Raw genomic sequence first — 27,823 nt, forward strand, 5'->3', positions numbered from 1 at the left:
GATGGGGTTTTGCCATGTTGGCCAGGCTGGTCTCGAACTCCTGACCTCAGGTGATCTGCCTGCCTCGGCCTCCTAAAGTGCTGGGATTACAGGGATGAGCCACCCCGTCCGATTCTTGATTTATTTTCTGTAATTGATTTGATGTGTGCAAATGTGTTTATCAATAGGAAGAGCACTTTCTGGAAGGCATTATTCAGAAGATTAAAGGAGAAATCCTCACCATCAGTTCTTAGTTTCTTGAAGCCCGTGGTGGAAATGGATACACAGATGACACAGAGACCATCCATTTTTCTGTTTTCTGTGTGTTTCTAGCCCCAGGCAAATCCTGCCAAGCTCTGTCTATTTTAATGGCCCCTGTTTCTGGTGTCACCTCTGGCTTGAGAACTGCATTTCCATTAGCCCCCCTTTCGTTCTCTTTAAGGATGGGGGGATTACTGTTCTCCAGGCATCATCAAGCAGAAAATCAGCACAGAGATGCTTATGAGCATGCTCTATCACACTAGTGTTTTTTAGATTTATTTTAGTGTTTAATTCTAGTATTTTATGGGAAACTAGTCTGTCTTTTGATATTGAATTACATAAAAATTATAAGCCCTGCTAAGCTTTGAGTGTGATTAAAAAACAGCTGAACATTTGAAACTTGGTCTGTATGGGATCCTAATTTGGGGTTCTCATGTGTGAAGGTCTCCTTTGATATCAAATATATAATGTTCCTTTAATGTAATACTGTCTATAAATGTGATTTTTTTTTCTCCAAGAAAGTTTAGTCTCTGCCCTACTTAACCTAAATATATAGCCCACCAGTATTTTATTTCTCTTTATCATAGGAACATAATTCAAGATCTCTTAGATTATGGTGATTCATAAACTTTCTAAATAAATTCTTTGCAAAATCATTAGATAAATATATATTATTTTAAATAAAGTAGGCAACGGTATAGTAATATCCTTCCCCCAAGACACAGAGTTAAGGCAACTTAATATGTTTGTATGTAAGAGGGGAAAAAAAGGTGACACAGATGTAAACCGGAAGGCCCAAGGTTCTTATCTTTGGGCAGAGGATTACATCTGGGTGCTTTTTATTTTCCATTTGCTCATCGGTTTTCTGAAATTTCCACAGCAGACTGTTACCTTGGTAGTGAGAAACAAAATGATACTTGATTTTTCAAAGAGGGTCATTTATACCTGTCCCCAGCCTCTTCCGCCTCCCAAGTGAAATGGGGCTTGCCAGCTGATTCATTTATGTTCTTTCTTGTTTTCTAAGTTAGTATATTGCTCAAAACAGCCCTTGCGAGCTCTAGGAGCTCAGGAGCAGTTTGGTGTCCTCAAAGCAGCCCCTTCCCTAAAGCTACAGCCTCTGGGTTAAGGACATGTAGCAGAGGTACTAGTGTGAGATGTCTGGGTTTTCTGGTTTGTTCTTGGACCCACAAAGCGCAGAGAGCTCCCAAACATGTTCTCAGGATGGGCGAGGGTAGAAGGTGTAAGTCTTGGTGCCTATCTGCAAGTGAAGGTGTTTTTAAGACACCATGTGCGTGAGCATGTGACCCATGTGGTTTATGATGCTGACTTTTTCCTCTGGGGAAATGCGAAATACTTAAAGCTCTTATCTGTCTGTACTGATTTTGAAAGCCAAGAGCCTAAGATTTTGACAATTAGTTAAAAAAAAAAATCTGCAAGTCATGTGGGAATTGTAAAAATCTTATGGGGAATAATAATTTTAACTTAACCAATAAATAACACAATAAAAATTAAAGCACTTAAAATACTGATTTAAGTGCTTTATTTGTTATTGCATAAATAAATAAATCAGGGAGCTGATTTACCCCACCACCCCTACCCATGTCAGACTCAAATTTTACTAGGATTATCTTGTTTCTTTTGCGTATTTATAGCTACTTTTCCTATGTTATTTGCCTTTAGGGCAAATTATATTCTCTTTGAGAATATTTTATTCTTATTTAAATTCTTTATTGTCTTGAATAGGCACAGTAACAATAAATTTATTCAAAATTCAACAATGGGGAAGAACTTTAATTAACCTGATTATTTTATATTTTTCTAGTGGAGTAGTGGTGTTAGTTCTACCATCAGAGCAGTAATAGTTGTTTTAGATTAAATTTTACCTTGAAAAAGTTGATATTGGAGACATGAAGTTTTCTTTTTTTTTTTTTTCTTGAGATGGAGTCTCACACAGTCACCCAGTCTGGAGTGCGATGGCCCAATCTTGGCTCACTGCAGCTCTGCCTCCTGGGTTCAAGCGATTCTCCTTCCTCAGCCTCCCAAGTAGCTGGGATTACAGGCGCCTGCCACCACGCCTGGCTAATTTTTTGTATTTTTAGTAGAGCCAGGGTTTCACTATGTTGGCCAGGCTTGTCTCGAACTCCTGCCCTCGTTATCCTCCTGCCTTGGCCTCCCAAAGTGCTGGGATTACAGGCGTGAGCCACCGCATCCAGCCCCTATGAGGTTTTCATGTGTTTTGGAGGCCCTCTGTAGTGCATCAGTATCCCCCATCACATAGTGTGTACGCAGTCAGCCAGCTCTGCTTGATGGGCTGGGTGTATGGGGAGATGTTTCTGGGTATGGTGTGGGGTTTTGTGTGTGGTGTGTTGTGAATGTGGTATGTGTATGTATACTTGTGTATTTTGTATGTGTAGTTTGGATGAGATGTGCATGTGTGTAGTATGTGACATACATGGTGTATGTGTGTGTATGTGGAATATGGTGTGCATGTCTGGAGTATCTGGCATGTGTGTAGATGTGTAGTGTGTGCGGCATACATGGTAAGTAGATATATGTATGTGGCATATATGATATGATCTGTGTGTGCGCGTTAGTGTGTCTGCAGGAGCATTCGAGAATGCCAGCGAGGATGCATTTCCTATCATCTGTTCTTAATGGAGAAGGATTTCTGGAAGCAGCAGATGGTGTGAAGTGTGCAGCTGTGAAGTTAGAAGAAAATCTTGGTAAGGACCAGATTGGTTCTGGGCAGGAAGGAGTATCCTCATAAAATCAAGCCCCTAAAGCTATAAACATCAGATAGCAGGGCCCGAGGCAAGCGGGGGTTTGAGAGGAGTCACAATGTGCTCTCATTTACAAAAGTAGTGGCTGCCAGCTTTTTATCCAAAATCCCTTAGGAATTACAGTTGTTTTACGGGCCCAAAATGCTTTGTAACTCAGCAGATGGCTTGAAGACTTCAGTATCTTCCCATTTTTACTTTAAGGTCAAAAGGATTCTAATTAAAGTTAAAGCTACAATCTCAATGTCATTGTTTAAATGAATTCACCAAGACAATAGTTGTGGAATCTTTTCAGAGGAAATTTAAGATGTTAATTTCCCACTGAAGTATAGTCTAATAATTGAGCTAAATAATGGCACTAAAGAATGACTTGGGGGTTTGCCCTCTTGGAGTCCATTTATTCTTAAAGAAAGATTTTTCCCTTTAATTATCAAACTAATAATGGCCATTGGAGGTGGGGAACTGGGAAGAAAAAAAATCACCAAAAATTCCACTCCCAAAGAAAATCATTGTAAATATTCAGTCATTTCCCAAGCATATCTGTAGATGTCCGAGTGTGTGTAGATGTCTATTTTGGTTTATTTTGCAGATCTGTGCTCATGTTATATACATAAAAGCTATATCCTTCCATTCGCCTTAAGATTCTATTATTTTCTCACTTTGAAAGGCCTTTAACTGAAGTCCACTGAAATCTTCAACAACACGGTTCATTTGTCTTTGAGACGGGTTGTTAGAACAAAAATTTGAACAGTTCTTTTAAAATACTGAAATAAGTGAGACCCAGTATTGATGGGAATGACTTTCTGCCCAGCTGTTTTCTTGTTGGCTGATTCCATAGGAATTGCCCGCATATGAAAAAGAAAATTGTAACAGATTAAAAAACAAAACCTCATCTGCTTGACATTAAATGTTACTTGTAACTTAAAAAATTAAATTACAAAACCATAATGAATTATTAAGCTTTATAAACTATTGGCTTTTAAAAAATTTATTGAGTTTTAAAAATTAAGTGTTTTTGTGTCATTGGCTGTGATGAATCTTTGTGTTTGTTAGACAGTAAGTTTATTTGGATGCTAAGAGATCTGCTAAACAGCCCCACTGGATTTTATATATTTAAAATATATCTTAAAATATTTTATTTATATTTAAACATATATAGTTTAAAATATAAAATTAAATTAAAACTAATTTAAGATTAATTTTATTGCTAACATACAAAGAGTTTTCATAAAAGCCTACATATATAAAAATATATGTACTACATATATTATGTATAAACATATGGATGCTACATATATCTTATATACGTAGACTTTATGAAAACTCTTTGTATGTTAGCTTAAATTAAGTCTTCTGAAAGTGATAAGAATTGTATTATATTAAAGCAATTACTGAAGTTTAATATGTACGGATGTGTAGTTTAAGACATGGGTTTTATGTGATTGTGAAAGCTAAGTACGGTAGTCCTCTCTTATCCTTGGTGTCGCTTTCTGAGCTTAAAGTTACCCACATTTAACCTCGATATGAAAATGTTAAATGGAAAATTTCAGAAATACACAATTTATAAGTTTTAAATTTCTCACTTTTTTTTTTTTTTTTTGAGACAGAGTCTCGCTCTGTCACCCAGGCTGGAGTACAGTGGTATGATCTCGGCTCACTGCAACCTCTGCCTTCCGAGTTCAAGTGATTCTCCTGCCTCAGCTGGGATTACGGGTGCCTGCCACCACATCTGGCTAATTTTTGTGTTTTTAGTAGAGACGGGGTTTAACCGTGTTGGCCAGGCTGGTCTTGAACTCCTGACCTCAGGTGATCTGCCCACCTCGGTCTCCCAAAGTGCTGAGATTACAGGCATAAGCCACTGGGCCCAGCCAAATTTCACACCTTTCTGAGGAGAGCAATGAAATCTCCTGTTGTCTCATACCATCCGAGAGTAGAAGCATCCTTTGTCCAGCTATTCACGATGTCTGTCTACATTCGCTGACTGTCTGCACTCCCTGCCTGTTAGCCACTCAGGAGCCCTCTGCGTATCAATAATTGTCGTAGTCTAGTAGTGCTTGTGTTCAAGGAGCCCTTATTTTACTTCTTAATGACCCCAAAGCCCGAGAGTAGTGATGCCGGCAATTCGGATGTGCCAAAAAGAAGCCGTCAAGTGCTTCCTTTAAGTGAGAAGGTGGAAGTTCTCGACTTAAGGAAAGAAAAAAAATTATTTACTAAGGTTGCGAAGATATGTGGTAGAAGATATTTTGAGAGAGAGAGAGAGACCACATTCACATGACTTTTATTACAGTATATTGTTATAATTGTTGTATTTATTGCTAATTATTGTTGTTAATCTCTTTTTTTTTTTTTTTTTTTTTTTTGAGACAGAGTCTCGTTCTGTCATCCAGGCTGGAATACAGTGGCACCATCTCAGTTCACTGCAGCCTCTGCCTCCCGCGCCCAAGTGATTCTCCTGCCTCAGCCCCCTGAGTAGCTGGGATTACGGGCCTGTGCCACCATGCCTGGCTAATTTTTGTTATTTTTAGTAGAGATGCCGTTTTGCCATGTTGGCCAGGCTGGTCTCGAACTCCCAACCTCAGGTAATCCTCTCGCCTCAGCCTCCCAAAGTGCTGAGGTTACCGGCATGAGCCGCCGTGCCTGGCCTGTTGTTAATCTCTTACCATGTCTAATTTATAAATTAAACTTCATCACAGGTCTGTATATATAGGAAGAAACGTAGTAGATACAGTGTTCAGTACTTTCCATGGTTTGACGCATCCACTAGGGGTTTTGGAATGGATCCCCTGTGAGTAAAGGGGAACTACGAGGTAACCTTTTCCTGAAAGCTGTGAAATCAGTCTGCCAAGATAAATAATTATAACTGATAATAGGCTTATCAGTGTGACCACAGTAAATAATTCCATTATTATATACATCATACCACAGCGTAGTTGCTCACTTACCTGTCTCTTAAGGGAACCTGCATCTAATTATCTTTTAACTTTTAGGGCTGACATATACTTGACCTATAATTGTTGAATTAGCCAACTCACACCAAACTGTTTTCTCTTTCCCCGAGTTCATCTGGACTGTGACATACCACAGAAATGTGTTCTGAGTTTTTCTTACCAATCTAAGCCTCACACAGGAATGAAAGTAATTTGAAATAATTATCAGGAACATTATTGTACTTTATCACATTTTTATGAAAATACTTCAGATTCCTCAAACAGTAATATTATTGATTCTGTACACATTATCAAAACCATTCTTAGAAAATACAAAATTGCAACATTCAATAGAACATCTTTTTAGTAAACATTGGATATTGGTTCCTACTTTTATTCCACTGGTGGGAAAGGCTTATGTGTTCCTATGTAGTTTATGTCCAAACCGACTGTAAGTGGTTCTTCTGTCAGCACTTTAAAGAATGATGGAGGGCCTGGCATGGCGGCTCACACCTGTAACACCAGCACTTTGGGAGGCCAAGGCGGGCAGATCCCTTGAGACCAGGAGTTTGAGACCAGCCTCGCCAACATGATGAAACCCTGTCTCTACTGAAAATACAAAAAATTAGCTGGATGTGGTGGTGTGTGCCTGTAATCCCAGTTGTTCGGTAGGCTGAGGCATGAGAATTGCTTGAACCAGGGAGGCAAAGATTGCGGTGAGTGGAGATGGTGCCATTCCACTCCAGCTTGGGCAACAGAGCAAGACTCTGTCTGGAAAAAAAAAAAAAAAAAAGATGGAGAAAGACTTTATAGGCTGTTGTAGTTTAGACTCTGTCCAACTAGAAGCATCATGTGGCTTTCAGAGAAAAACACTCTAGTCAACCAATGGAGAAATGCAGAGGAGGAAATGTGAGACTTATTTTCAAACTGAAGACAACAATTAAGAAGAGGTAGAACTTCTCAAAGATACGTTTTCATGAACCACTATTTATGTATTATATAGCAACAGATATTATGGTGACTTGTACAGCCATTACCATTACCCAATGTGATGCATGTTTTCCTGTTCTGTGTCTATCACATGTCTATATAGGCCATGCCTATTTATGTTTTTCCTGTTTGTTTGGGTCTCAGATCAGTGAGTGCCTTTGTTCATCTTGAAAATGGTATTGATAGCAACACAGAATCAAAATACAGTTTTCAAGAAATAGAAATCCTCAGATTGTTTTAGACCCTGAATTTAATGACAGCAGCAGGAATTATAAACCCTCGGTTCTGATGAGAAAAAGTCAGGGACTTATTTAGATAAAAATAGCTTACAGGGTTTTTCCTAAGGGTCAGCAAAGTTTCCTACTCATCTGTACCTTTAGGACTTCATAATGATTTAGCTCAATTTAATCCCAGATTAGCAGTGAAAGATTAATACTGAGTTTTCTAAGGTGGGAAATTCCGTATGAACAATAATAGGTAACATTTCCTGAGTACTGAAGACAGGTCAGACAGTGTCAGTGTTTAGCACTGCTTCTTATAGATCATCTCTGAATCATCACAACATCCCTAAGAGGCTGATGCCATCATGCCCATTTTACAGATGAGGAAATTGAGGGATTTGCTGACAGTGACACAGAGTAAGGAATAAAGTCATGCTGTGAGCCAGGCATCCCTGACCCTGTGGTCAGCATTTCAGTGTGACACTGTAACCAGCATGCACATCATTCCTTACCTTACCAGAGCTGTCCTGTGCCATAGGGATTCTGGCTCGCTTTTCCTATGTATGGTCTCTGCTTTGTAAGAGAAATCAGTATTTACCAAGTACCTATGGTACTGGTTGGCTTACACTCAGTGACTTCCGGAAGGCTCACCAAACCCTCTGAGGTAGGAAAGATCATTCCCATTTTAAGGATGAAGAAGCTGTGGCTGAGTGGCTCAGTTACCTAAAGACAAACGGCCAGTGAGAAGGGGAAACTCAAGTCTGTCTGAGTCCGAGATTAATGCCTTTGCCATTGCCCAGAGATCTGTCTGGCTTTGGAGTCAATATGGAACCCCTCACTGGGCCTTCAGCAATGGGATGCCCACATGCATGCCTCACACTCCCCAGGACAGAGTTCATGGACATGCATGAAATGGCATCACGATCATAAATAGATGTTCTGGTAACTTGGCTCATAGGTAGCATGTCTTTTTACCATTAATTAGCGTACTATAGACTGCATGGGTGACATTAGAAAACAAATTTTTATTGCTTTTGCAATGAAGTTTGGGGACATTTTATAAGAATTATTTTAATAAGTAGGGATTTAAAATATGGGACATGTTGTATAGAGCAAGTTAGAGAATGTTAAAATAAAAGAACATATAAAAATGCTACTTAAAGTTTCACATTTATGTGCAAAACAACATGTAATTCTTGGTCGGGGCTGTGATAGTTCTGCTTAAGAATGTCTAAAACAGATGATCTGATAAGAAAATTGCTCTTACCACAGTAGAGGAGAAAAGGCAAGAAGGAGACCTTCACACAAAAACAAAATTATAATAGCCTCCTTAATGGGCCTATGTCTGAGTTTCAGTGCTTATCACTTACAAATGAACACTTTTCATAGACATAATTTCCATTGCCTAATAATAGTTGAATATGACTATGAATCATTTTGAGTGCAGTTTCTTTAAAATACATTGTTAATAAATGTTCTCTGAAGAGGTAGATAGGTGGATTCTTATGTAGTTAGTAAAAACAACACAATCAGCCAAAATGACTCAGGATTATTTTTTCATTTCATGGAACCTTCTGCAAATTAATATTTGTCCTTATCTGAGGTTTTTCTAAATAGTTGCTTTATTAAGCATTGCATTGTTTGGCAGTACAGTTTGTGAGCTGGATAAGGTAATAAAAACTTGGGAAAAATGTAAAAGACTCACTTTTTAAATATCTACATTAAATGCATTATCTTTGCTATGTTTGAGTGATCTCTTATGGTTCTGTAAGATGGACCATTTTGTTGCATCCTCAAAAAGTGTAAGAGAAGAGGGTTTTGTTTTTTCTTTTTTGTTTTTGTAGTCTTGTGTGTTTGGATTTTGTTTATTATAGTATTATGCTATAGTTTTAAGGATTGAGGACTCAGAAGATTTCATGTGGCCTTAATTAGCAGTCTGTCATATTTAAAAACAAACATGTTGAAATAATAAAGGTAGAAATTGTAAATATATAATCCTCTGGAAGGCAGGGATTCAATCTATGAAATTATTTCAGTTAACGTTTCAGAAGAGGAACACACATGAATAAGTATATAAATATGTTAGCTTAACTTTAACAAATTATACAAGCAACATAATTCATTATCTAAATTTTAGAAAAATGAGAAATCACCCATCACTGCACTAACTCAAATCTCTGTCATGAGTTTTAGTTAATAAGTGTTTTCTGACAATGACAAATTTTCATACATGAATAAGTATATAAATATGTTAGCTTAACTTTTACAAATTGTACAAGCAACATAATTCATTATCTAAATTTTAGAAACATGAGAAAAATCACCCATAACTCCACTCACTCAAATCTCTGTCATGAGTTTCAGTTAATAAATGCTTTTTGACAATGACAAATTTTCATTTTTAGATATTGCATGGATGAACAGGGAAAAATGTTATAGATATGGTGAAGAATATATAGTACATGAGAATATATGTGAGTGTGTATGTGTGTATGCATGCATACATACACACTTGTGTACATTAATGTATGTACACGTAAATATGCATATAAGTATACACATACACCAGAAAATTTTTCTAATGTTCCTTGCAAACACAATATGCAGCTTTCTGAAAATTATTATTTTTGTGATATTTTTAGTGGCTGTAACATTTATTTTTGGTAGCTGGCTTTGGGTGGTCCCTACAGTCCTTTTTCTCGGGCTCTTACTGGTGAGATGGATTATGCATGTAAGACTTCAAACTGGGAACAAGGGACAGCTGGAAAACGATCATTTTAAAAGGCATGTTTAAGACGGACATAAAGCTAATTTTCCTACGAGTACCCAAAATGCAGGAAGAAAGACATTTTGCTAGAGGATGAAATTGAACAGTGAAGATTTTAATTTGGTCCCATTCCCTACCCCAGCAAGGTGAGGTAGGGACACAGCTCTGCTTCCATGCACCTTTGCAGCCCAGTCCCCACCCTCTCACAGACAAGGCCACTCTGGACCTGAGGACAGGCCCATCTTCAGTACTGTTGGTGGTTGTCCCCACACAATCTAGGTTACTTTCGGAATTTGATGGATGGCTTTTCAAATTTGCCTTCCTATCTGGAAGATTATCATCAGCTATCCCTGCACTTTGCAGCAAGTACAAAACTCCTGAAGAGCAGAGGCTGTCAGACCAGCTGCCAAAGTGCTTAACACCTTTTATTCAGAAAATCTGAGGCCTCCACTTGACTGATCTCCCCAATTCTCCTTGCAAACCAGGCTCCCGGGTGCAGGGTTAGGAAGTGCGTAATGAGCTTTAGAAAGGGTTCCTGAACCAACAGCTAAACTGTTGTTAATCTCAGCTCTGGCAGTTACTTGGGATGAAGAGATCGTAATGGCTGCTTTAATTAAAATACACATAATACTAGAGGATCAGTAGACCACAAGCAAGAACTCTAAGTAATTCATTAGTTTCAATTTTAGGCGAACATGGAAGGTACTAGAAGAAAATAGGCAAACTAGACAGACATCAGTCAGAATGCTTAGGCTTGCCTCGGCTGGTGAGCCTCGGTGAGGCATTTCAGCTTTAAAAAAAATTTTTTTTTGAGATGGAGTTTTGCTCTTGTCACCCAGGCTGGAGTGCAATAGCGGGATCTTGGCTCACTGCAACCTCTGCCTCCCGGGTTCCAGCGATTCTCCTGTCCAGCCTCCCAAGTAGCTGGGATTACAGGCATGCACCACCACACCTGGCTAATTTTGTATTTTTAGTAGAGAAGGGGTTTCACCATGTTGGTCAGGCTGGTCTCGAACTCCTGACCTCAGGTGATCCACCCGCCTCAGCCTCCCAAAGTGCTGGGATTACAGGTGTGAGCCACCACACCTGGCCACATTTCAGCCTTAAAATAAAGGGGTTCATCTGATTGTCTCATCAGTTCCATAAGATGCTATATTTCAGTGATTGCTCATGATTCTGTAAGACCATTTTGTTGCATCCTCAGAAAGTGTAAAAGAAGAGGGTTTGTTTTTTGTTTTTGTTTTTGCAGTACAGATTCTCAGTACTTCCCATAGCATAGAGGGTTGAGTCATAGAGTCCAGCCAGCTCCTTGGCTGGGAAGTTGATTTTCAGTTAAATAAACTTGAGCTTTCCTGTGGTGAGATTGGGTGGTGGTGGAGCAAAACCATTTTAAAATGTAGGTTTTATTCAGATATGGTGAAGCTTACAGATCTGGGAGATGACCGTCAATGAAAAGATCTCACAGTTCCCAAGAGGAGGAGCATCCCATGTGATGCAAGGCCCCAAGAAGCAGCAGGGTCCGTCAGGAGGCAGTGGGAGTGAGGGGAAAACGAGAGCAAGAGCCTCTACTGTGGTTTCTGCAGAAAGGAATGGACAGGATTTAGGGCTGGCTAGTTTGGGGAATTTCAGCAGGCTCTGGGAGGTAGATACTGTCCCTGGTTGCCTGGCATCTGACCCTTGGTTGGTTAAGGCAGAATTGTGGCCCATAGGAGGTAGGGGTGGGTGGTCTGAGCTCTGAATTGGTTGGGTCTGCATAGGAAAGATGGGCAGGTGAGTTTACAGTTTCTAGGAATCCACTAGTTCTGGGAGGGGCAGTGCCTCCAGGGTCAACAAGGCCTCAATGCTAAAGCATCAAACATGCAGAAAACAGAGATGTGGGATCAATCCAGAGACAGCATGTTGGCTTTGGGTGACAAGACGAATGAGCCTTTCTCTGTCTTTCCCCATCCTCTCTCTACCCAGCTCTCTTTTCTCTCTTGTATTCCGTTCTCCCTCCTTTCCATCTCATCTCTTTGTTTTCCCTACCTGTTCTTTTAACAGAGGACTCCGATGACGTTAGAAGAGGCTGCACTGCCTAGAGCAATCTGCATTCCATATTAGCTTTATAAAGAAAAAAAAAATCAGCCTGGTACAGTGACTCATGCCTGTAGTCCCAGCACTTTGGGAGGCTGAGGTGGGTGGATCTCTTGAGTTCAGGAGTTCAAAATCTGCCTGGGCCATATGGCAAAACCCCGTCTCTACAAAATACACAAAAATTAGCCGGGTGTGTTGGCATGCGCCTATAGTCCCAGCTGCTCAGGAGGCTGAGGTGGGAGGATGCTTTAAGCCTGGGAGGCGGAGGTTGCAGTGAGCCAAGAGCAGACCACTGCACCCCAGCCTGGGTGACAGAGCCAGACCCTGTCCCAAAAAACAAAAAAATTGTAGAAGGCTTTGAAAACCCAACATAGTAGTAATAATAATAATTTGATATAAAAATAATCAATAAAATCCTGATGTTGTATTAATGATGATGATGATGATGATGCCAAGAACTCCACTGTTGTCTTCACAAACCTGTTACTGGCTTCCAGAGAAAAGATGCATTTCCTTCTCTAGATCAACACGGTTCAAAAGACCTTTGCACAGTGGTGGACATGTTCTGTATCTGTGCTGAACAGTACAGTAGCCCCTACCTACATGTAGCTACTGAGCACTCAGATAGTAAGACTGAGGAACTGCATTTTTAATTTTTGTGGACTTTAGTTAATTTAAGACTAATTTAAATAGCTACATGTATTAGGATTCTCCGGAGAAACAGAACCATAAGTGTGTGTGGAGAGAGAGAGAGTGTGTGTGTGTGTGTGTGTGTGTGTGCGTGTGTGTAGAGGAGGGGATTGATTTTAAGGAATTGGCTTCTGTGATTGTGGAGGGTGGCAAGTCCAGAATTTGCTGGGGTAGTCGGGGCAGGGGTGGGGGTGCAGGGTGGAGATCGGGGAGGAGTTGAGGCCTCATCTGGACTCTGAAGGCCATCTGCTGGCAGAATTCCCTCTGCAGGCCTTCCACTGATAGGATGATCCCACCCACCCCTATTAGGGAGAGTGGTTGGCTTTACTCAGAGTCTGCTGATTTAGATGTTAATCTCCTGGTAAATGCACCTTCACGGAAACATCTAGAATAATGTTTGGCCACATATCTGTGTCCAGGGCCCAGTCAGGTTGACACATAAAGTGAGTCACCTACCTCACCCAGCTGGTGGCGGAAGTGCTGAGAAGCACAGGTCTGGATTCATTCGGCATGTACAGGGCCGGGCATTATTCTAAGCACTTCACTGGGGCTTCTGTCAGATGAACACTGTTATGCTAACTTCTCTAGGCAGCAATAATGCAGCACAAAGAGTAAGGCTTGCCTGAGGTCACACAGCCAGCAAATCAGGATTCACTCTCCAGCTTGGTGGCAGAGGCTGTGTGCTTCACCATTACCTTTCGCAAGGCCCCCTTGGCTTGGAGGGGCAAAGCTGTTTCCTAAACATCAATCTTTTTTTCTCACCAGGACCAAAGTCAGAAGGCCTGCGTTAGACCCCTGGTTTTCCCCCTAAATAGCTATGTGACGTGGAACACTGAACCTCAGTATCACCATCTGTAAAATGGGAATGATGATTCTCTCCTATATTTTCTCTCTCTCTTTTTCACCACTTTGTGGACTACATTTCTCCTGTTCCTGGGTCTGTTCTCTTGCAACATATAAGTTTGGTAAGGTAGTCAATAGAAAACATTTGGTTACTGAAAAGTGGAATTGATTGATACTCTTTTCTTTGAGCTAATGCTGAAACACTGGATTCCCCAACAACAACTAAATTTTGTGTTCAGAGTTTCTTCCCTCACTCAAAGAGGAAAGCATGGCACTGTTATTATTTTGTATCTTTTCTTTGGGATAACCATTTCTGAACCAGTGTTGCATGGATTTGGCTGCTGTCTTGGGAACACAGTACTGATGTTGCTCCTGGTGAGCGTGCACTGAAGATTTGCGCTGCACTGTACCTGAGGTTCTCAGCCGAGTCTTCCTGTGTATGTTTGAAGATCTGGTTCTGTTTTGTGGGGCTATGGACAAAATCCACCCTCCACAGTAGGTTGTAAAGAATGCATCCTTTTGGTAATTCACCACCCACTGAGTGGATTTCATTCCTTTTTTTTTTTTTTTTTTTTTTTTTTTGGCTTTTAACTTTTAAGTTCAGGGGTACATTTGCAGGATGTACAGGTTTGTTACATAGGTAAATGTGTGCCATGGTGGTTTGCTGCACAGATCATCCAATCACCTAGATATTAACCCAGTACCCATTAGCTATTCTTCCTGATGCTCTCCCTCCCTGCATCCCCCACAGGCTTCAGTGTGTGTTGTTTCCCTCCCTGTGTCCGTGTGTTCTCATCACTCAGCTCCCACTTACAAGTGAGAACATGCAGTGTTTGGTTTTCTGTTCCTGTGTTAGTTTGCTGAGGATAATGGCCTCTAGCTCCATCCATGTCCCTGCAGAGGACATGATCTCATTCCTTTTTATGGCTGCATAGTATTCCATGTTGTATATGTACCACATTTTCTTTATCCAATCTATCATTGATGGGCATTTGGGTTGATTCCATGTCTTTGCTATTGTGAATAGTGCTGCAGTGAACATACCCATACGTGTATCTTTATAATAGAACAATTTGTATGGGGGGGTTATATAGTAATGAGATTGCTGGGGATTTCATTCTAATGTAGTTTGTTGGTATGGGTTATCCTCACTATCTCTGAAATGACGAAAAAATTCTTAGTATCACCCAAACCTTATTCTGTTTTAATTAGGCATTTCACACAATTTAAATTAGTTTTACAAAGAATGTAGAATGAAGAACACTTCTCATCACAAAGAGTACACATCTCAGCACAAAATAATGTCCCCTCGCCCCTCCTTTTACATTGCTTTTATGACGTGCCTTCTAGAGCCTCAGCAATGCACTTGTACAACTCGTAGCAGAGCACCAAAAGAAACCATGATCAGTGTTAATGTTTTTCCACATTTTGTTATGAAAAATTTCAAATATATGGAAAAGTGGGGGAAAAAAGTATCATGAATACCCATCTGTCTGTTACCCAGATCCACAATGAACATTTTTTTTATCTTTCCCTCTGTCACGCCATCTTCATTACTTTATGCATTTCAAAGTAAGTTGCAGGTGTCTGTATACCTCATCCTTTTAAGGCTTCGTCATGCGTGTCATTTCCTAGAGCTCGGTGCTTGTTGCTGGTTTTTTCTGTGTCGGGTAAAGTTTATATGTAGTGAAATGCAGAAGTCCTAAGCACGTCCTTTGATGAGGTTTGACAATTGCATTCCCTGGGTAACATGAACCCCTGTCAGGATAATCACAAAACATTAACCGTCACCCTAGAGAGTTCTCTCTTGCCCCTTCTCAATCATTCCCACCCCCATCCCTCCAAAGGAAACCAGTGTTCTGATTTTTTCACCATAGGTTCGTTTAACCTGTTCAAGAACTTCATGTGGATGAGATCCTAGAATGTGTTTATTATTTTGTGCAAGACTTCTGTTGCCAGCCACATTAGTGTGCTAGGGCTGTTATAACAAAATACCACAGACTGTGTAGTTCAAACAAGAGAAATTTATTGCCTCACAGTTTGGGAAGCTGGAAGTCCAAGATCAAGGTGTCATTTAGAATGTGTTCCAGGCTTCTCTGCTAGCTCCTGGAAGTTCTTTGCCTTGTGGCAGCATAATTCCAGTCTGCACATGGCATTCTGCTTTTCTATGTCCAAATTTCCCCCTAAGGACCTATGGTCCTCCTAAGGACACCCATCATATTGAATTGGGAGTGCAACCTACTGCAGGATGAACCCTTCTTAACTAATGACATCTACAATGACCATATTTCCAAATAAAGCTACCTTACAAATAAGGTACTGGGGGTTAGGACATCAGTATACAAATTTGAGGGGGTCATAATTCAACCCATGACAGCAGCACCTGGGTTGTTTTATGTACCAGTGGTTTGCTGTTACTGCCGAGTAGTGCTCCATTCTAGAAATGGACTACAGCTAAGCCAAGCTGTACCAAGCCATGCTTGTTGATGGGTGCCGTTTTTGGCTGTCGTGAATAAAGCTGCTAGGAACATTTTTGCACAAGTGTTTCTGTGGACGTGTGCTTTTATTTTTCTTGGATACATACCCTGACCCCGGGGAGGGGGCTAACCTGGGGACACATGTGGAAGGATGGTCCTCTGAAGGCAGAAGGCCAAGCTGTTGGGTCCCCCCACCTTGGCCAGCAGCCGGGATGGCTCTTCCCCAGTGCTGCTTCAGTCTGGTGGAGACAGTAGCTACAAACCACAGATCCTGCTTCTTAAAACTGGGCAACATCATCACATCTATTAATTTGAATTTTTTTTTTTTTTGAGGCGGAGTCTCGCTCTGTCGCCCAGGCTGGAGTGCAGTGGTGCGATCTCGGCTCACTGCAACCTCTGCCTCCTGGGTTCAAGTGATTCTCCTGCCTCAGCCTCCTGAGTAGCTGGGATTACAGGCGCCCACCACCACGCCTGGCTAATTTTTGTATTTTTACTAGAGACGGGGTTTCACCATGTTGGCCAGGCTGGTCTCGAACTCCTGACCTTATGATCCACCCACCTTGGCCTCCCAAAGTGCTGGGATTACAGGCGTGAGTCACCGTGCGCAGCCTGTTAATTTAGATTTTAAGCCAATCTGTTGGTTTCCCTTTGAGGTTGGTGATGAAGTCCTTAAAGGCTGAGATCCGGTCACCTGGACCAGTAAGGAAGTGGGGAGTTGGGGAGAAGGTCCTGTTCCCAGGACAGTAGTGACAGTGGATGAAGGACAGGACAGCAGCTTTTGAGGATAAGGGCGAGAGAAGGGATCCAGGGACCCATTATGGGCCCATGGTGGGAGTTGGGGTCTGGCCCAGGGCCACATCCTCCTTCATCCTCAAGGGAAGGTGAGGGGCCCATGAACTCTCTCAGGGAAGTGCAGGTCCTGATACAGCAACATGGAGAAGCTGTAACCAAGCCGGAGAGAGTCACCGTAGAGCCCAGGAGGAGAGACCCGAAGATAAGCATCACCCTGTGCTGTCATCTCTGAGGGGCGGGCGCTGCTGATAGACACGTGAAAGTCTAGCCTGCAGCAGATGTGAGTCTCAGATGCCTCCGTGGGCAGCCGGAATCTAGATCAACAACTACACTCTAGAATAATCTCAGCTGCCAGTAAGCCAGAGGGGCTTGGAGGGTGAGGAGTCCCTGTGATAACCAAGATCAAGTTCTAAACCAGCCAGCAGGCCTCGCGAGGCTGGCTCACCTTTCAGGCTGCTGGTGTTGGAAACATGAGACTGTGCCTCTCAGCCCAGGCAGGGCCCTGCCTGGGGTCCCACAGCTTCCAGGAGCCAGTAGGGAGCCCAGAGCCTGGCAAGGCCAGCAAGTAGGGAGGGGATACTGCTTGGCAGGAAGTCCTCAGGAGGGAGTGTGAGGCTTGGTCTGCCTAGATCATTACAGCCCAGGGCTTTCTGTACCTAGGACTTCAGTCCCAACCCCGCTGACCCCATCTTAAAGAGGACAAGGGAGGGATATCTGCAGCTGGAAGGAGGGATATCTGCAGCTGGAAGGAGTGTGCCAGCTTGAACAGTGACGGGGCACCACTTTCTGGAAAATATGGAAGAACCTAATGTACATTAGAGCTGTGAAACTTGTGGCCCACACACTAATTTTCTCTAGCACCTGGGCAGACATAGGCAGTTGTGGCATCTCTTTTTATCAAGTACAGACAGAAAAAAAATCAATTAAAATAATTTTATTGTTGTATAATGCACGTGCTTTAAAATGTACCTCTTTTTTTTTGGAGACAAGGTCTTGCTCTGTCACCCAGGCTGGTGTGCAGTGGTACAATCATAGCTCACTGCAACCTCCAGCTTCTGGGCTTAGGTGATCCTCCTGCCTCAGCCTCCCAAGTAGCTAGGACTATAGACATGCCCCACTGTACCCCGTTAATTTTTTTTTTTTTTTAAGATTTCTAGTAGAGATGGGGTCTCTGCGTTGCTCAGGCTGTTCTAGAACTCCAGGCCTCAAGCGATTCTCCCACACAGCTTCCCGAAGTGTCAGGATTACAGGTGTGAGCCATTGAGCCTGGCTATATTTACCATTTGAACCATTTTTAAGTGCACAGTTCAGTGGCAGTAAGAACATTCACGTTGTGTTGCAGCCCTCACTAACGTTTATCTCCAGAACTTTTTCGTCATCCCAAGCTGAAACTGTGTATCCATTAAATACTAACTACATTTCCTTCTCCTCCTAGCCCCTGGCAATTACCTTTCTACTTTCTGTCTCTGAATTTAAATCTACTTTTGAGAAGACACATTGTTCTGGTCCTGATATTGTTGATATTTAAGTTCCAGCTGGCCAGCTAGGCAGTAAACCAAGCAAAATCTCACTCATCAGACCTGAGTATTTTTTTCCTTGACTTGTGTCTGTCATGTGGGGGGGGTTGGGTGATTGGAAATATTTGGTATCTACACAGCAGTCTTTCTGCCTTTGCCATCATCCTGTGCATATGCTTCTTGATAATTAATATGTGCATTCAGTTAACCATTCATGGGATCTTTTCTTTTATCCGATTCTCCGCTCCTTAAGGACATGGGCTGTGTCTTGTTTGTCCCTGTATCCCAAGCCCTGAGCACTATGTCTGGTGCTTAGGGTGCTCAATATTTATTTTCTTTTTCTTTTCTTTTCTTTTTTTTTTTTTTTTTGAGATGGAGTCTCGGTCTGTTGCCCAGGCGGGTGTGCAGTGGTGCGATCTCGGCTCACTGCAACCTCCACCTCCCAGGTTTAAGTGATTCTCCTGCCTCAGCCTCCCGAGTAGCTGGGATCACAGGTGTGTGCCACCATGCCCGGCTAATTTTTGTATTTTTAATAGAGACGGGGTTTTGCCCTGTTAGCCAGGCTGGTCTCGACCTCCTGACATCAAGTGATCCGCCCGCCTGGGCCTCCCAAAGTGCTGGGATTACAGGCGTGAGCCACCATGCCCGGCCTCAATATTTATTTTCAATATTCCACAGATGAGGGCAATAAGGAGAGGAAGCGGAAGAAAAAGGATGAGACATGTGGCTTGTGGGCAGAAAGGGAGGCAGGAGAACATTCCCAGTCTGCCTTTCACTGAGTTTTTACCTGTTCACTAGAACAACAAAAGGGAACCCGATCGGGAAACTCTGCTGTCAACTAAGCAAACTCTAAATTTAACATTTGGGGGACCCCCTTGGAGAGTAGTTGAGAGCTATGTGCTCCCCTTTTCAGAAAAATGCTCTCAAATACTCAGTGCATAAGCCCACAGCCTTAGCAGGTTCCCAGACCTTAGGTCAGCAATCCTGTTCTAAGGCATACATCACGAGCAGCATTTTGATTTTCATCTGGGGAACTTATAGTTCATAAAGACCTACTGATCCATTAAAATTTCCACTTGATTTTGCCATTAGTAATCTCTTAAACAAGTCCAAGGAAGCCAGAGGAAGTTATTTCTTGAATGCTTTTATACTAGTGCTTTCAAGAGTTCGTGTTGCTGACTCCAGTTTTTAAAATTATTATTCTCATCTTCTGCAATGCCTCGAGGCATGTTTTTAGCTGAATAGCAATAATTATGGGATTGTGCAATACTGGAAGAAGCAGTAAAAATAAAATGTAATACTAAAAAAAAAAAAAGTCTTTACTTCATCTAGGAAATTCAGTTTAAAGAATTTTTACCTCCGGACATAACAGTGACTATGCTGGAACTCTGTCTTTGACTCAAGCCAGAAGATGGATGGGACCACCCTTAGGAGCCTTCCACAGGAAGGCCCTCTCCACAGTAGGACTTAGGGCGCTCATGTAGATCCCTCGGCAGTAATGCGCTAGTTGCTCCTATAGTCAGGAGGCATCTAGGGAGATCGCTGATCTCCATGGCAACCTGGACCCAAATGAGCAAAGTGCCATCAGCTGGCCTCGGCCTGACTGCTCTGGCGGGAGGGAGGAAGCTGATGCTGTCTCCCACCCAGGCCGTGTAGCCATTTCCCCCACCCCCACCGGAGGTCTGAGAGTGTCAGGGCTTCTGCCCTTGGCTTCAGCCAGTTCTCCTGGAGGTCATTAAAGGGAAGCCCTTCTGGTGGCAAGTTCTCTGCCACAATCTACAGTGAGAATCTAATGATGGTATCAGTTGTAGAGGCCCCTTGATCTCTGGAGAGGGTTCTTAGTGCCAAGGAACTTTCTAGAACCATGGAGGAACCCTGCAGGGACCTCTGAAGAGTCCTGAGCAAAGAAGTGGGGAAAGCTGTGTGGGTGTGCACCAGGGTCTCATCACCCTGCCCTCAAGGGCAGCCTCAGTATTATGACTTAAGGACTTGGGGGTTTACATAACATCCCTTTTTGTCAGCAAAGGAAGTTCCTTATTTCTAAACCTCATGGTCCCAGAAAACCCAGTTCCTGATCTAGCTGTCCCGTTAGGGCATTTCCATAATACAGCACGTTCTTAAGCAGACATTAAGTCAGACAATTAGGTCCCAGCTAAGCCTTGTCTTGACCTCTTAAGCAACATATCTGCCCTCCCTTTTGCCTTCTCTCTTTTCCTTCTCTGTCACAGACACAAGGACTAGATGAGAATGACACCCTGGGGCTATCTGATATACTTCCTCAAGAAGTATTAGTAACACAAACAACAACAGAAAAAACAAAGTGAAATTTATTTATCATGAAGCACTTTATTTTATTTAGTTATTTTTTTTTTTTTTGAGATGGAGTTTCGCTCTTGTTACCCAGGCTGGAGTGCAATGGTGTGATCTCGGCTCACTGCAACCTCTGCCTCCCGGGTTCAAGCAATTTTCCTGCCTCAGCCTCCCGAGTAGCTGGGATTACAGGCATGCGCCACCACGCCCAGCTAATTTTGTATTTTTAGTAGAGACAGGGTTTCTCCATGTTGGTCAGGCTGGTCTCGAACTCCCGACCTCAGGTGATCTGCCTGCCTTGGCCTCCCAAAGTGCTGGGATTACAGGCGTAAGCCACTGCAGCCAGAAGCACTTTAAAGCTTATCGTTAAGAACAAATATGCAGTCATGCAAGAGCACACTGTTAACAAATTACCGGCTAACTAAAAGCTAGGCGAGTTCCATATCAATATGATTAAACAATTGCATGGGAAAATTATTATTTAGAGGAATGGAAGTAGTCACTAGTACGTGTTGTCAGTAGCTTCTGTTTTATTCCTAAAAAGACGAATGAGAAAATGAGGTATTATGAAGGAAGAAGCAAGAGTAAATGCCACCATGGTAATTACTGCCCGGGGCATATGAAGAACTGTTTTTTTGTATTCTAATCTCCGTCACCGAAACTCATCAGTGATGCAGGACCCAAAAATAGAAGGACATTTTGGGTGGACATGTAGTTAATAATGACTTATGCAGCCCAGCACCTGTGTGGGCTGGCATTGTTCTAAGTGCTTTTTCCTGTGTTACCTCATTTAATCTTCACAACAGCGCTGTGAGGTTGGTACAAGTATTATGTTGATTTTATGGAGGAGGAAACAGGTGCAGAGAGGCAAGGTACTTTGCCCAAGCTTCCTTTGTCAAAGCTCACAGAGCTGGGGAGGGTGCCCACGTGTGTGTACCTGTACCCACTGTGCATGCTGCCCGTCACGGGCAAAGGGGCTTCCTTTTGCTGTCTTTGAATCATGGATTTATTCAGTGTCATGGGAAGCCATGCATGGGTTAGTATTCTGGCCACATCAGTGAATGCTACAGCCTGGCCCCATCATGCTAATGTCAGGAGGAGTGCGGGGGATTGGCAGAGCATGGGGAGGATGGCGGTCTCCTGCTGAAACTCTGTGGAGTAGCCTCAGCTACCCTTTCACAGAGCAGGGTTTGGTCTCTGAAAGGTGAGGTCTTTCACTTGTGATCATGGTACAAGGCTGTGGTACTTCTCGCTCCAGGAGCTCGCTGGAGAACATATCGAGGCCTGTGTGGCTCCTCAGCCCATACCCTCAGGAGAAGGAATGCTCTCCTCAGGTTTGGAATTGCTTTTCTTGGTCCTTGTTTCTAGTAGGGAGTGAGAATAGACATGAGTTGTGCCTGCTGGGCAGAGCCTTTGCAGGCCAGGCCTCCTGGGCTGCCTTGGGCGTGTTCCTTGAAGAGCCAGTCCTGCAGTTGTGGGTGGGAGAGGAGCTTCTCTGAGATGTGTTATCAGGAACCTTGGCGGAGGTGGGCAGTTGACCTTCGGCTTTCCCCTTGGCCTCTAGGGATTCATATCTCATAAAGAACAGAAAAGAGGAAGGCAGCCTGGCCCTTCCCCTCACCCTTCCCTCTTGGCGGTGTTGCGGGAAGGGAGGAGCAACTCTTCCTCAACATCCTCGAAGCTCAGTGTCTGGCATTGTAAGGCCAGTGGTTTTCAAACCTCTGGGCTCAGAACCTTTGTTCAAAGCAAGTGTTACCTGGCAGCCACACATCCATCCAGGCAGCCCCATGAGGAATGCTCAGATCCATCTGAGAAGAGTCTGGAAACCCACATCTTCATTTCCCACCATGGCCCTGTCAGGGGAGACCCTTTGTCCTGTACCTTCCTGTCGTGTTCTTTCTACGTTTCACCCACTGCCTTCCTCGTCCTTCCAAATTAGATTATTAATCTCATGAAGAAAATACAGCTTTCTTCCTGTGATTCAAAACATCTTTTGTGAGCTCTAAAACCATGCCGATTAAGGAATTATGAATTTAAAATAATATTAAATGGTCAGTAGCTTTTATTGACAAATGATCTTGGGACAAAGCCATTAGATTTTTTTTCTATCTCTTACAGAACCCCCCTCCTGTTAAAACATTACTCATTGAGAAGTGATCCATTAAAAGAAAAATGTGTTGGATTTTAAAAAATACCTAATCCTTGGCAGGGCGCGGTAGCTTATGCTTATAATCACAGCACTTTGGGAGGCCAAGGTGGGTGGATCACTTGAGGTCAGGAGTTCGAGAACAGCCTGGCCAACATGGTGAAACCTCGTCTTTACTAAAATTACATAAATTAGCTCGGTGTGGTGGCATGCACCTGTAGTCCCAGCTACTTGAGAGGCTGAGGCTTGAGAATCACCTGAACCTGGGAGGCGGAGGTTGCAGTGAGCTGAGATGATGACATTGCACTCCAGCCTGGGTGACAGAGTGAGACTCCGTCTGAAGACAAACAAACAAAAAACAAAAACCGAATCCTTTAGCCAGGCGTGTCTCTTGTTGGATAAGTCAGTTTGGAATCTTTTGGATGTTTTCCTTCTTTTACTTGCTCAGCCATAATAAATCTTTCATTTTAATTTTGATCAGCAGCATTGTGAGGTCCTGCCCAGTGTGGTAATGGGCAGTTAGCTTGTCACAGTCCTGTCATCTTGCCAGCCCCTTGAGAGCTGCCAGAAGCTTGTGGTCTGTCTGGTTTCACATGGTGGTCATGGACTCTCTTAGGGACTCACATGTTACTGCACAGTGGGTATGCATCTTGGCCTGTCAGCACCTCTCCCTGAAGCATCCCAGGAGCTATTTACCAAAATGGATCATGCTCTTTTGTCAAGAGCAGGCCACTGGACTGCATTGCACCCCTGAGGATATACCCACAGATCAACGGGACAGAATAAATAAAGCAAGATGAAAAAGAATGAAGGGATCTAGTCGAATAAGCTTTGCAACTAAAAATCTTCCATGAATACAGGATCTCAGAATCACTTGATAATATGCTCCACATACATAAGTACACATATGCACACACACACAGCCGTGTGAGTACAGATACACAAGCTGTAAGGTGGTCATTGCACACCAACGTCCCTTTCGACGAAAACGAACAATTCCTCGATACTAGCTGGTCTCTTGGTTTCTGCTGTTTGTGACTTGTCATTGCAGGGAAGGGCTGTGATGGAGGGAGTTTTTGTTGACTTGGTAGTTCCTGTCTGCAGACCCCTTCATTGCTTCATTGGATTCCTTGGACAGCCTGCTATAGCCACATGGGGGCTCAGTTAGAGCCTGCTCTGTGAGCTGCATCTACCCATTTGGGCTCCCACGTGCAGAAAGCATGATTCCCATGCTCCATGTGGGCGGACTCCTGTTAGGCAGGTGGGAAAGGAGAAACCAGACTGCCTGGAACCTGCCCACAGGGCCTCTACCCAGTGGGGCATCAGGGAGGTACCACCCATTCCAGTCACTTGTTGAAAACTGTTCCCACTCTGGGGGAGGGGAGGGTAAGTCATGGTCTCTCTCTGTAAGAAATCACAGGTGCATGTGTGTGCACATGCATGCACCAGCTATCTCCTCCTTCTCCCCAACAAAATGACAGTTGGCATTCGTAGAGCCTGTACTCTGAGACGGGGATTTTGTGCTTGACGTGTATTATCTAATTTAATCTACTTAACCCTATAAGTTAGATGAAATATTATCCTTGTTTTACAAATGAAGAAATTAAGGTAGAGGTAATGTGTCATCTCTAGTACTCTAGAGTTTCTAATGCCCCAGGTATGCTTCTTTTTATTACAGGATAGGCTAGGGTAGGCTAGGGTAGGCTAGGCTAGGGTAGGGTAGGGCAGGGCAGGGTAGTGTAGGGTAGGGTAGCATCTACACCAATGCTGTGCATAGACCTTTCTGCAATTATGGGAATGTTCTGTGCCGCCCAGTGTGGTAACATCTAGCCACATGTGACTGTTGAGCATGTGAAATGGGACTAGTGTTTCCAAAAAGGTAAATTTTTAATATTCTTTAATTTTAGTTAAATTTCACTAGCACCGTGACTAGTAGCTACTGTGGTGGACTTTCCCTGCAGCTGAGGGCCCTCCCAGGACGCTCTCAAAAGCAGGATGTAGGACGCCTTGGACTTGATTAGCACTGTTTGATCATTGATTGATTTGAAAGATCTTTGCTGAGCCCCTCCTAGGTACTAAGCAGCTCAGGCTGTGAGAATGTCTGAACTCCAAGAATTGCTGCATGGTTCTTTTTGAACTGAGACCAGTGAGCAGGCGAATGTCTACAATAGTCCCGGGTGTTGGAAAGGACTCTGGTGTGGACCTTTGATGCCTGCTGCCCCAGTGAGTGACCCAGTGTCACCAGACTCGTGTGCCCACTCCTCAGAAAGGCCCCCATTCTTCATGCCCCCTATCTTGCCCTTCCTCTGCCTCCATCCGCTTCTTTTGTCTCCCCACCTTGGTTTATGAAGTCTCCTCTCTCCTCTTCCCTCCTCTGCCCTTGAATCTTTTTCTTTCCTTTTTTCTTTTTTTGTTTTTTTTTGAGACGGAGTCTTGCTCTGTCGCCCAGGCTCGATCTTGGCTCACTGCAACCTCCTCCTCCCGGGTTCAAGCTATTCTCCTGCCTCAGCCTCCCTAGTAGCTGAGATTACAGGTGCATGCCACCACGCCTGGCTAATTTTTGTATTTTTTTTTTAGTAGAGACGGGGTTTCGCCATGTTGACCAGGGTGGTCTAGAATTCCTGACCTCAAGTGATCTGCCTGCCTTGGCCTCCCAAAGTACTGAGATTACAGGTGTGAGTCACCATGCCCAGCCTGCCCTTGGAACTTTAAAATTTATTTGAAAGTTTATTTTAATATGTGGTTACAATCACATAACATTACATTTACCATTTAAACATTTTAAAGCGTGCAACTGAGTTGTGTCAGCTATATCACATTGTTGCGTGACACTTCCCCAGAACTTTCTCATCTTGCAAAACTGAAATTTCGTGCCTACTAAACACAAACTCCCCCTTCCCCTACCCCTTGGCAGATATGAGTCTACTTTCTGTTTCTGTGATTTGGACTACTTTAGATACCTCACATGAGTAGAATCACACAATATTTGTGCTTTTGTGACCTGCTTATTTCACTTAGCATGATGTCCTTGAGGTTCATCCACGTTGAGGCATGTGTCAGAACGTACTTTTTTTTTTTTTTTTTTGAGACAGTCTTGCTCTGTCACCCAGGCTGGAGTGCAGTGGCATGATCTCCACTCACTGTAACCTCCACCTTATAGGATCAAGCAATTCTCCTACCTCAGCCTCCCGAGTAGCTAAGATTATAGGCACCCACCACCACGCCCGGCTAACTTTTGTATTTTTAGTAGAGACGGAGTTTCACCGTGTTGGCCAGGCTGGTCTTGAACTCCTGACCTCAGGTGATCCACCCACCTCGGCCTCACAAAGTGTTGGGATTACCAGTGTGAGCCACCGCGCCTGGCTAGGATGTGCTTCCTTTTTAAAGGCTGCATTCTATTCCATTATGTGTATAAATCTCATGTCATGTAGTCATTCATCCATCAGTGGACATTTGAGTGCCCTTGTCTTTTACTTTTTTGTCCTTTCCCTTCATTTTCCCCAAAATAAAATATGAAATTAAAATAGCGGAACCAATAATATATTAGATGAGGAGCCGTTTGTGCTTATTTCCTATCTTTTGGGCAGCAAGAGTTGAGCCTTTATGCCCTCCCCAATCATTGCTACAAAATACACCAAATATGTGGCCGGGCGTAGTGGCTCACGCTTGTAATCCCAGCACTTTGGGAGGCCAAGGCGGGCGGATCACGAGGTCAGGAGATCGAGACCAGCCTGGCTAACACGGTGAAACCTCGTCTCTCCTAAAAATACAAAAAATTAGCCGGGCGTTGTGGCGGGCGCCTGTGGTCCCAGCTACTCGGGAGGCTGAGGCAGGAGAATGGCGTGAACCCGGGAGGCGGAGCTTACAGTGAGCCGAGATGGCACCACTGCACTCCAGCCTGGGCGACAGAGCGAGACTCCGTCTCAAAAGAAAAAAAAAATACACCAAATATGTTAGCCAGAGTGAATTTCTATTCTAATGAAACCTTTCATTGATTTTTTATTTCTCTGGGTCATTAACTTCCCATTGAATAAAGAAATTCCCCAGACCTGCCCTGGGGGATTCCCCTGCTCCATGGAAGTTTGATAGGCATTGCATTTGGGTGCTAGAAATGGAAGCCCCTTAGACAGCAGTTTACTTAAGTTAAAGGTTCATTTTCTTCTCATCCAGAAGTGGGGCTGTGTGTGGACAGTGCTTATCTGGCAGCTCCTCAGTGCCATTGGAGACCCAGGCTCCCTGGGTTCTGCCCCCCTCCTTAGGGTGTCAACCAGAGCTGCATCCACCATGCCCAGGGTTCAAGCAAGGAGAAGGGAAGGGAAGCAAAAGGGGGTGCACTCCAGCTTTACTGGCCCCCTGAATGGGCATCCCTGTGAGCTGCCTGCAAGGGGCTCTGCACACTTCTCATCATCCAGACTGGGCCACAGGGACCCTCACTCCACCCCAGAGCATGGAGAAGAGATGCATCGCTGCCCTGAGTAATGTGGGGATTCTCATGGGGAGAGGGAAGGGGGTTGTGCAGGGCAGGCCTCCTGCAGTTCTGTATCTACCTGGTGGTCTTCAGTGTTTACCTTCTTGGGGTTCAGGTGATGGAACGAAGACACAGCAGTTGAGCTATATGTTCATCATAGTTATACTGAGTTAGGATGGGCAAAGTCATGCCACTGTAACAAACAACCCCAATAGCGAACGTGAGTTAGTTGGAGCCTTGTCCTCCTGTGTCGTAACTCCAGGACTGAAGGTAATGAAGCCTCCACTGTGTGGAAAGTTGCAATCACATTGGTGAGGAAGAGGCTGTCACAAATTAAGGACTGGGTCTTGAGGCTTTCGTCGGGAACCAACAGGAGGAGTTGAGCCCACTTTCATTGGCCAGAAGTCACATGGCCACACTCAATGTGAAAGCATGGGTGTGTCCTCCTACCTCATGCTGAAAGGAGAGGACCCTGAAATATTTGATGACTGTCACTGCCACAGTAGTTATTTAAATAGAGAATTCTATAATATTTTTATAGAAAAGAGTATTAGGAATTGAGTCATTTGCTATCTCAAAGGCTCT

At 43.4% G+C, this 27,823-nt stretch overlaps 1 protein-coding gene and 1 long non-coding RNA gene across 9 annotated transcripts in view, besides 4 other annotated features; both read left to right on the top strand.

The window, feature by feature from the left end:
- The window catches only part of DAPK1 (death associated protein kinase 1), a 211,407-nt gene that overhangs the window by 37,603 nt on the left and 145,981 nt on the right, over positions 1-27,823 (top strand). The window lies entirely within an intron of this gene.
- DAPK1-IT1 (DAPK1 intronic transcript 1) lies at positions 18,624-19,629 on the top strand. The gene is made up of 2 exons (NR_146781.1): positions 18,624-18,760; positions 19,065-19,629. It is a non-coding gene; the product is annotated as a DAPK1 intronic transcript 1 (long non-coding RNA).
- Positions 21,004-21,173: an enhancer, noted in NCBI's record as "experimental_108388 CRE fragment used in MPRA reporter constructs". NCBI's record gives its function as "activates a minimal promoter by MPRAs in K562 erythroleukemia cells, with activity observed for both the introgressed and non-introgressed 9:90170834 variant alleles {active_cell/tissue: K562}" and the evidence as "EXISTENCE:reporter gene assay evidence [ECO:0000049][PMID:34662402]".
- Positions 24,929-25,098: an enhancer, noted in NCBI's record as "experimental_108397 CRE fragment used in MPRA reporter constructs". NCBI's record gives its function as "activates a minimal promoter by MPRAs in K562 erythroleukemia cells, with activity observed for both the introgressed and non-introgressed 9:90174759 variant alleles {active_cell/tissue: K562}" and the evidence as "EXISTENCE:reporter gene assay evidence [ECO:0000049][PMID:34662402]".
- Positions 27,151-27,320: an enhancer, noted in NCBI's record as "experimental_108402 CRE fragment used in MPRA reporter constructs". NCBI's record gives its function as "activates a minimal promoter by MPRAs in K562 erythroleukemia cells, with activity observed for the non-introgressed 9:90176981 or rs74884476 variant allele {active_cell/tissue: K562}" and the evidence as "EXISTENCE:reporter gene assay evidence [ECO:0000049][PMID:34662402]".
- Position 27,236: a transcriptional cis regulatory region, noted in NCBI's record as "Neanderthal adaptively introgressed variant 9:90176981 (GRCh37/hg19 assembly coordinates) or rs74884476 in the experimental_108402 CRE". NCBI's record gives its function as "modulates activity of the experimental_108402 enhancer by MPRAs in K562 erythroleukemia cells {active_cell/tissue: K562}" and the evidence as "EXISTENCE:reporter gene assay evidence [ECO:0000049][PMID:34662402]".

Source organism: Homo sapiens, chromosome 9 (genome assembly GCF_000001405.40).
Source record: "Homo sapiens chromosome 9, GRCh38.p14 Primary Assembly".
In the NCBI taxonomy this organism is placed as follows: Eukaryota; Metazoa; Chordata; class Mammalia; order Primates; family Hominidae; genus Homo; species Homo sapiens.